Raw genomic sequence first — 9,602 nt, 5'->3', positions numbered from 1 at the left:
CGGTGAGTGTTACAGTTCTTAAAGATGGTGTGTCCGGAATTTATTCCTTCTGGTGGGTTTGTGGTCTCACTTGACTTCAGGAGTGAAGCCGCAGACCTTCGCAGTGAGTGTTAAAGCTCTTAAAGGTGGCGCATCTGGAGTTGTTTGTTCCTCCCAGTGGGTTCGTGGTCTCACTGACTTCAGGAGTGAAGCCGCAGACCTTCGCAGTGAGTGTTCAGCTCATAAAGGTAGTGCGGACCCAAAGAGTGAGCAGCAGCAAGATTTATTGTGAAGAGCAAAAGAACAAAGCTTCCACAGCATGGAAGGGGACCCGAGCGGGTTGCCACTGCTGGCTCAGGTGGCCAGCTTTTATTCCCTTATTTGGCCGCACTCACATTCTGCTGATTGGTCCATTTTAGAGAGTGCTGATTGCTCCATTTTACAGAGTGCTGATTGGTCCATTTTTACAGAGTGCTGATTGGTGCATTTACAAACCTTTATCTAGACACAGAGTGCTGATTGGTGCATTTTTACAGAGTGCTGATTGGTGCGTTTACAATTCTTTAGCTAGACAGAAAAGTTCTCCAAGTCCCCACTTGACCCAGGAAGTCCAACTGGCTTCACCTCTCGGTCTCCCCTCTAAAGAGGACACCCCAACTGCTGTTAGGAATTAGGCAATGACAGCTCTAGCTACTTCCTGCTGGATAGGGGCAAAGAAGGAGCCCTGCAGTTGTAGTGTCCTCCAGAGGGGAATTCTTCAGGCCAGTGAAAGGGTCAGCAGGTTAGTCCAGGGGTCCTCAGTAGAAGTTGTTAGTTGAGCTCATTTGGGGTTCCATTTGTGAAGACCATCTGTAGCTCGATGGCCTCGATCCAGAGGAAACAAATTTGAAAAGGAGATTAAAAATACAGGGCTCAAAGGCAAATAATAGCAAGATGGCTGTCACGGGACCTAGAAAGGGGAGAAGCCATGTTGCCCAACTCCAGAGTTTGGTATAGAGTTTGAAAGGCATTGTCTGACTTCAGAAGCCTTTTCCTGTAAACTCCGAGTGGCATCTCATACTGTCCCTGACTGGTTAGTGTAAAAACACTCTTCCCCTAAGAAAATGCAGAGTCCTCCTTTCTTGGCAGTGAGGAGGTCTAGGCCTCAGCCGTTTTGGAGGGTCACTGCTGCCAAGGAGTCTATTTGGGATTGTAGAGTAAGGATAGATTTCGTTATTTCTTGCAAACTGTCTGAGAAATCATTTGAGAGTGTGTGGTAGTAGGATAATGAAGTAAACAAACTAGCTATTCTGGTTCCTGTAGCAGTAGCCATTCCTAACCCTATAAGTAGGGGTATTAGTTGTATGGCTCTGCACTGACAGACTTGAGCTTTGAGGGATACTGATATGGTCTGATTTCCTGGGGCAATGTTACTGTTGGGACTTAGAAAGACTAAGATTCAGGTGGCTGTCTAGTTAGTGGGGAGGCAGATATAGGTCGATGTTCCACATACAAAGAATATACCTTGGCTGGGTGGGCAGACCTGATTGTGTATGTTAAAATGGTGTGTGAGTTTGTTGTTTTCATTTTCCCATACTCCTAGAGTACTTGCCAAGGTAGCTCTGGTGAGTGGCTGGAAAGGGGTGTTGGGAGCAAACTGAGTGGCTCCCTGTGTTCTATTTTCCTATTGGAGAAAAAACTGTTTTGTATCTACTAGGAACCATTCGAGAGAGTGATTGAAAGAGGGGATGAGAAGGCATTCACTAGTGGTGGGGGCGCTGCTGCAGGGGGTCCAGGAGTGAATGGTCATGCAGGGAGTATGTTTGCCATTACAAAACCTGGACTGTTTGTTAAGCAGGGAGGAGGTGATGATTTTTGGAGGCCCTGAGAAGCAGACAGGCCATCTGAATCGAGCTGTTTGAATGACTTGGAAGTTACTGTGATCAGTTGGGGCTTGAAGTTGTAGGGTGTAATTACACTGATGCGGTGGTAGGTGCCCCAGGGGCAGGCCTGATAACAGGTTGCATTGGATGCATTAAGGGACTTGGAAAGTTAAGATAGTATTCGTAGTTACAGGGCCATGTATGGGCTTTTCATTGCTTGTGTAATAGGTGAGGTTGGAAATGTAAGAACATAAAAGTTGGATTGCATGTCCTGTTAGGGTATTCTTGGTCCTATCAGAGATGGGGAACTTGGCTAATGACTGAATATTTAGAAGTCCGGAAAGGGTCTTTTCCTTCTTAACAAGGGTGGTAGGTTAAGTTGGTAAAGACCCAGTTTTTTGTGGGAATGGGAGTGGCAACGTAAGCAGAAGTTGATAGAGAGATACAAAGCCAACAGTCATTTTCCAGGGAAGGATTGGACTGGCTTAGCAGAGAGTGGGTTAAGTTGAGAGTCTTGTAGAGGTAATTAGGAGGTAGTGGAAGGGGAGGGGCAATTGTATGAGGTATCCAAGGAAGTAGGAGGGATAGATAGGCAAAGAGTAAATAGGAAGGTAAAGAGGGTGTTCTGGAAGACGAGATCATTTTATCCAGTCTGAGTTAAAGGTAAGAGTAAATTGCTGTCAGAAGGAAGGAAGATAAAAAGAAGGTTGATGTGGTTAGGATTTTTGTCCCAGCAGGAGCCAGTATATAGTCCTATGGCAAAGAGTATGGTTAGTATGCTGCTTAATAATATGATGAAATGTAGAAGGATTCCATTAAAGAGGCAAGGAGAGGTGTTAAAGATAAAGATTATGTAGGTTTTCACTTATCTTTTTTAAGGAGGAAGGGGTTTTTCTTCAGGATCAGTGGTAGGAACCTTTTTTGTCTGGGATGTTTCCTTCCAATATAGGAGGTGCAAGTCCTCCAACGGTTCGCAGGTGTATCGAGGCTGGTCTGGCTGATCTTGGGACCCCTGAGCTGATGGTACCAGAGGTTCCTCAGGGGGTGTCCAAAATTTAACTTGGGTGTGGTGAATCCAAGATTCCACTCCTGCCACCTTAACTGCAGTGGGGATAGAGAGGATTACCGAATATGGTCCTTCCCACAAAGAGTTCATAGATGGGGAGGTAGAGGGGAGAAATTTGACCAACACTAGATCTCCTGGTTGAAACAACTCTGTTCCCTTTTCTCTGTGACATCCTTCAGGTAGGTTTTTAAGGTTTTTTTGATATTTTGCCAAAAAAGTTATATCTTTGACCAAGTTGGCCATTTCCTGATCAAGTGGGAGGTCATTTGTAAGAAAAGGTCGTCCATATAGCATTTCATATGGACTGAGCCCCATTTTGTGAGGAGAATTTCAGATTCTCAACAAGGCCATGGGCAAAAAAGTAGGCCATGGAAGTTGAGTTTCTTGTGTTAGTTTCCTTAAATACCTCTTGAGTGTTTCATTTGCCTTCTCCACCTTCCCTGAGGACTGTGGCCTCCAGGTGCAGTGATATTGTATTCCTGGCACCCTGGAAATTCCCTGAGTTATCATGGCTTTTTTTTTTTTTTTTTTTTTTTTTGAGACGGAGTCTCGCTCTGTCGCCCAGGCTGGAGTGCAGTGGCGGGATCTCGGCTCACTGCAAGCTCCGCCTCCTGGGTTCACGCCATTCTCCTGCCTCAGCCTCCCAAGTAGCTGGGACTACAGGCGCCCGCCACTACGCCCGGCTAATTTTTTGTATTTTTAGTAGAGACGGGGTTTCACCGTTTTAGCCGGGATGGTCTCGATCTCCTGACCTCGTGATCCGCCCGCCTCGGCCTCCCAAAGTGCTGGGATTACAGGCGTGAGCCACCGCGCCCGGCCTATCATGGCTTTAAAAGCTGAACCATTGTCACTCTGCAAGCTTTGAGGAAGCCTGAATCTAGGAGTTATTTCATGAATTAGGACTTTAATCACTTCCTGAGCCTTCTCTGTCTTGCAGGGGACAGCTTCTATCCAATTTGTAAAGGTAGCAATGCAGACCAACAAGTATTGAAATCCCTTTGACTTAGGCATATGGGTGAAGTCTAACTGCCAGTCCCCTCCAGGATAGTGACCTATTCTTTGTTCCCCCAAAGGGGCCTTACAATGGACCAAGGGATTATTCCTTTGGCACACCTCACAGGCTTTGACTACTTGTCAGATGATCCAGAGGAGATTTGGCCCTGTACATAGGGATTTGGCCATTTGATGAGTGTTTTCAATACCCATATGAAAAGTTTGGTGGAGGATTTTAAGTATTTTCCACTGGCTGGCTTTGGGCATAAGTACCTTTCTTTTTCTGTCATTAACCACCCTGAGAGGAGAAAACTATGCCCCCATGAAAGTCCCCACTCTGTTTCAGTTGGGGAATACTGGGGCTTAATCTCTTGGAGGGGTTGTTCCATACCAAGGGTCCTTCCACAGGTATTTCTAATGGGAGGTTCAGCCTGGCAGCAATTTTGGCCTCAGCATCTGCCCAACAGTTTCCTTCTGCCTTTTCTCCTTCACCTTTCTGATGGCTTTAGCAGTGTAAGACTGCCATCTCCTTGGGTTTTTGCACTGCATGCAATAACTCCATAATTTCCTTGTAGTATTTAATGGGGGTTCCCCCAGAGGTTAGGAACTCCCTTTCTTTCCATATTGCAGCATGGGCATGTAGGATTAGATAAGCATACTTGCTATCTGTATACACATTTATTCTTTTTCCCTTTCCCAGTTCTAAGGCTCGGGTAAGTGCCACTAGTTCTGCTAACTGGGCGCTGGTCCCTGGGAGAAGAGGCCTACTTTCAAGTATGGTTACATCACTAACTATGGCATGACCTGCCCTTCATATCCCATTCTCCAGAAATGAACTTCCATTGGTGTATAGGTTAAGGACAGGATTAGCTAAGGGGACTTCTAAGAGATCATCTCAGGTGGCATGAGTCTGGACTACAATTTGTTGGCAGTCATGCTCGATTGGTTCCCCATCCTCTGGGAGAAAAGTGGCAGGGTTGAGAGTTGTGCACATGCATATTTGAAGCATTGGTCCCTCAAGGAGTAGCACCTGGTATCTAAGCAGTCAGTTGTATGATAGCCATAAACTTCCTTTGGCACCTAGTATGCCATTTACATCATGAGTAGTCCAGACAGTGAGATCCTTTCCTTGTAGTATTTTGACAGCCTCTGACACTAAGACAGCCACCACCACAACTACCCATAAACAGTGAGACCAGCCTTTGGCTACTATATCAATTTCCTTACTTAGATATGCCACTGGTTATGGGGTTGTTCCACAAGTCTGAGTAAGGACCCCAAGAGCTATTCTTGCTCTCTCTGTGACGTATAAAGAAAAGCTTCATCCTCTGGGAAGGCTTAAGGCTGTAGCTTGAGTTTGTTCCTTCCAATGCTCAGACTTCAGGGTTGATTCCCTCCTAAAGCAGGGGACAATAAATGAGTAACTTGTTTTCCATATTCATGTAGATAATAGCTCCAGCTTTCACTAATATATCCCTCTCTAATAAGGGTATGGGACTTTCAGGCATAAAAAGAAAGGCATGTGAAAAGAGCAAAGTCTCCCAATTACAGCTGAGGAGGTGGGAGAAATACCTGGTTACAGGCTGTCCCAGGATTCCTTGGATGGTAATGGACCTTGAGGACAGTTGTCTGGGACAGGAGATTAACACTGAGAAGTCTGTGCCAGTGTCCAGGAGGAAGTCAATTTCCTGGCCCTCAATGGTTAAACGTACCCAGGGCCCAGTGAGGGTGATGACATGAGCTGGCGCTTGCCCCTTGCACCGTCAGTCCTGTTGTTGGATCATCTGGTTGGGGGCTTCTGGACCAGAAAACCTTTGTCCTCTGGGGTAGTGCACCTTCCAGTGATTGCCTTGGCATAAAGGACATGGGCGAGGGGGCAGCTTGTTTCTCATTGGACAATCATTTTTAAAGTGTCCTTGTAAACCACACTGGTAACAAGCCCACCAGGTGACTGGCCTGCTCCATTTTCTGTCCTCTTTGAACCACCAAGGTTTGTTTGTCTAAGGGCCATGACTAAGGCTGCGGCCTTTCTCTGATCCTCCTTTTCCTTTTCAGCCTGTTCCTCTTGGTCCCTATTATAGAACACCGAGGTTGCCAGGTTTAATAATGCCTCCAGATTTTGTTCAGGGCCCAGGGCTCACTTTTGGAGCTGGTGCTTTTCTCCTGATATCTGCAGCTGATTGGGTAATAAACTTATGTTTTAGGATCAATTGGCCCTCAAGTGAGTTGGGTGATGGGAGTATATTTTCGTAAGTCCTCCAGTAGCTGCTTGAGGAAGGCAAAAGGATTTTCTTCCTTTCCCTGAGTTATGGTGGACATCATTGAATAATTCATGGGCTTTTTCCTAATTCTCCTTAGTCCTTCTAGAACACAGGTCAACAGATGTTTGTGACTCCAGTCCCCCTGATCTGAGTCGAGGTCCCAGTGGGGATCCATACTGGGGTCGGCTTGCTGACCGGTAGGGAATTTGTTCCTTTCTTTTGCTGTCATTCTATCATTTACTTGACTAAGATACCAGGTATCTCCAAACTCTAGGGCTTCAGCTAAAGCTACATTCTTTTCTTTAAAGGCCAGGGTTAGATCTAACAATAGCATGACATCTGTCCAAGTGAGATAGAAGGTTTGCCCTGGACCCTGTAGGACATCTATGTACCTATCAGGACCATCTGAAAACTTCCCCAGGTCTGCCTTGATCTGCTTTAAATCAGAGAGGGAGAAGGAGACATGTACCCAGGTTGGGCCAAATTCCCCTCCCCCTACAGCTTGAAGGGGACATAACCAATAGCCCAGGGGTTTTTGTAGTCCTTTGGAGATTTCTTTGCTTGTTTCCTTCTGGGTGGGGGAGATTAGAAGAGGCCTATCGTTAATTGAAAGGAGAGTTAGGATATGGAGGTAAGCTGAGAGATCCTCCTGTGGGATGTAAATTGCAAGCTTTGCATAGTTATGTATTCTCCTTCAGTGAAAAGAAAGCTTGGACAGAAGGTATTTCACTCCATTTGCCTTCCCTCTTACAGAAAAGATCAAGCTGCAGGATAGTATTGTAATTTATACTTCCCTCAGATGGCCATTTTTCCCCATCAGAGAGAGAATATTGGGGCCAAGCTGTAGTGCAGAAAAAATTGAGCTTCTTCTTTTTCAGGATTTGCGGGTCAAATTGGTCCCAATGGCTTAGGATGCATTTCAAGGGTGAGCCTGTTGATGCCTGAGTGTTTCCCATTTGAAAGACAAAACCAACCATGGTTTTGGTTTGTTTGTTTCTCTGCCTGCCCAAGAACCCACAACGGTCCCTGGACCCTGGTGATTGGAATAGTTGTGCTCACCGACACAGCAGCAGAAACAACCCCTGCCCAAGAACCCTCAATGGTCCCTGGACCCTACTGATCAGAATAGTTGCGCTCACTGATGCAGCAGCAGAAACATTAGTTTTCCTCCTAGACCACAAGGAGGACTAAGGAAACTCAGATTTAGTGGCCCTTACCAACGCATTCTCGAAAACCTGCACCCTTGCCTGTCTTCCTAGACCACAAAGAGGACTGAGAAAAATTGGATTTCGTGGCTCTTACTGACACATTCTTGAAAACCTGTTACAGTCCTAAGCATTCTCCTGTTAGTATTGGGACCTTACCCCTGTCCTATAAAGGTGTTATGCCCCAAAAATGAAGTGGAGGGCCATACCCTGAGGGAGGGAAGGGATCTCCAGGGCTGGAAGAGTGATGCCTTTTGTCCTCACTTATATGGATAGGAAAGATACCATTTCTGAAGTTCCCCATATCCTAGCTTCAGGAATAGCTTTTGTTAGGCCTGCTAGTCTGAGGAGGGATCCTAAAATTCCAGATAGTCGCCCGCCCCGACAGGGCTTTGGGCAAAAATTACGTCTTTCTGATTGGTGAGCCCAGGTGCCTAAAGAAGGTAACAGAGTCCTGAAGTTTATACTAGAAATCATTCTTACAGTAGAAACTAGAAAAGCACCAGAGACAGGGAGTGGTTTTTAGAAGAAGGACTAGCCTCAGAGAAGAGAGGCAGGAGGAAGTTTGTCTGACAGACGTTAGGACCCAGGAGGAAAGGGTCAGGTTAGATAGGATAAATGGGCGAGTCTCGCTTGGGTGATGTGACTTTAAGAGTTCCACTCATGGCCGCAGGGTCAACCAGCTTGTTGTCGGGACCCCAGAGCTGAATGGCTTTCCTCTCTGTTGACCCTTGGCTCAGCCCAGAAGTACAGGAAAAGCAGAAGCTGGTTCCAGGCAAACCAATGCTGCCAACTCCGAAGAGTCAGGGGTTGTTAGCCCTTTCCTAGAAAGCCTGACACCCGTGTCTTTAGTCCGGTGGCCATGCTAGTCGCTTTTAACTGGCCAACAGTTACCCGGTATTTAGCCCCCGAATTCTAAGGAAAAATATGACAGAATAGCAAGTGAAAGGGGTCTGATGGTACTCACAGCTTGGTGATAGTCCCTTCGTGGTTGCCAAAATGTGTCCGGAATTTTTTCCTTCTGGTGGGTTCTTGGTCTCACTGACTTCAAGAATGAAGCCGTGGACCCTCGTGGTGAGTGTTACAGTTCTTAAAGATGGTGTGTCCAGAGTTTGTTCCTTCAGATGTTCAGATGTGTCTAGAGTTTCTTCCTTCTGGTGGGTTCATGGTCTTGCTTGACTTCAGGAGTGAAGCCACAGACCTTCACAGTGAGTGTTACAGCTCTTAAAGGTGGTGCATCTGGAGTTGGTTTGTTGCTCCTGGTGGGTTCATGGTCTCGTTGACTTCAGGAGTGAAGCCACAGACCTTCACAGTGAGTGTTAACAGCTCATAAAGGTAGTGCAGACCCAAAAAGTGAGCAGCAGCAAGATTTATTGTGAAGAGCAAAAGAACAAAGCTTCCACAGCATGGAAGGGGACCCAAGCAAGTTGCCACTGCTGGCTCAGGTGGCCAGCTTTTATTGCCTTATTTGGCCCTGCCCACACCCTGCTGATTGGTCCATTTTACAGAGTGCCGATTAGTCCGTTTTTACAGGGTGTTGATTGGTGAGTTTACAAACCTTTAGCTAAACACAGAGCACTAATTGGTGTGTTTTTACAGTGTGCTGATTGGTGCATTTATAAACCTTTAGCTAGACAGAAAAGTTCTTCAAGTCCCCACTCGACCCAACCAGGAAGTCCAGCTGGCTTCACCTCTCAATGGTACCAGCTTCTCTTTGTACCTGTGGTAGAATTCAACTGTGAATCCATCTGGTCCTGGGCTTTTTTTGGTTGGTAGGCTATTAATTACTGCCTCAATTTCAGAACTTGTTATTGGTCTATTCATGGATTCGACTTTGTCCTGGTTTAGTCTTTGAAGGGTGTATGTGTCTAGGAACTTATCCATTTCTTCTAGATTTTCTAGTTTATTTGCATAGAGGTGTTTATAGTATTCTCTGATGGTCATTTGTATTTCTGTGGGATCAGTGGTGATATCCCCTTTATCAATTTTATTGCATCTATTTGATTCTTCTCTCTTTTCTTCTTTATTAGTCTGGCTAGCAGTCTATTTATTTTGTTGATCTTTTCAAAAAACCGGCTTCTGGATTTTTTTTTTGAAGGGTTTTCTGTGTCTCTATCTCTTTCAGTTCTGCTCTGATCTTATTTCTTGTCTTTTGCTAGCTTTTGAATGTGTTTGCTCTTGCTTCTCTAGTTCTTTTAATTGTGATGTTAGGTTGTCAATTTTAGATCTTTCCTGC

At 45.7% G+C, this 9,602-nt stretch overlaps 1 annotated feature.

Annotated features, from left to right (window-relative positions):
- Positions 6,700–7,360: an enhancer, noted in NCBI's record as "OCT4-NANOG hESC enhancer chr7:82267896-82268556 (GRCh37/hg19 assembly coordinates)". NCBI's record gives its function as "activates a minimal SCP1, AML or CMV promoter by ChIP-STARR-seq in primed H9 embryonic stem cells {active_cell/tissue: H9 hESC(primed)}" and the evidence as "EXISTENCE:reporter gene assay evidence [ECO:0000049][PMID:30033119]".

The sequence above is a fragment of the Homo sapiens genome, chromosome 7, assembly GCF_000001405.40.
Source record: "Homo sapiens chromosome 7, GRCh38.p14 Primary Assembly".
Lineage (NCBI taxonomy): Eukaryota > Metazoa > Chordata > Mammalia > Primates > Hominidae > Homo > Homo sapiens.
The sequence above is the reverse complement of the archived record's forward strand: the minus strand, read 5'-3'. Positions and strand labels throughout refer to the sequence as shown.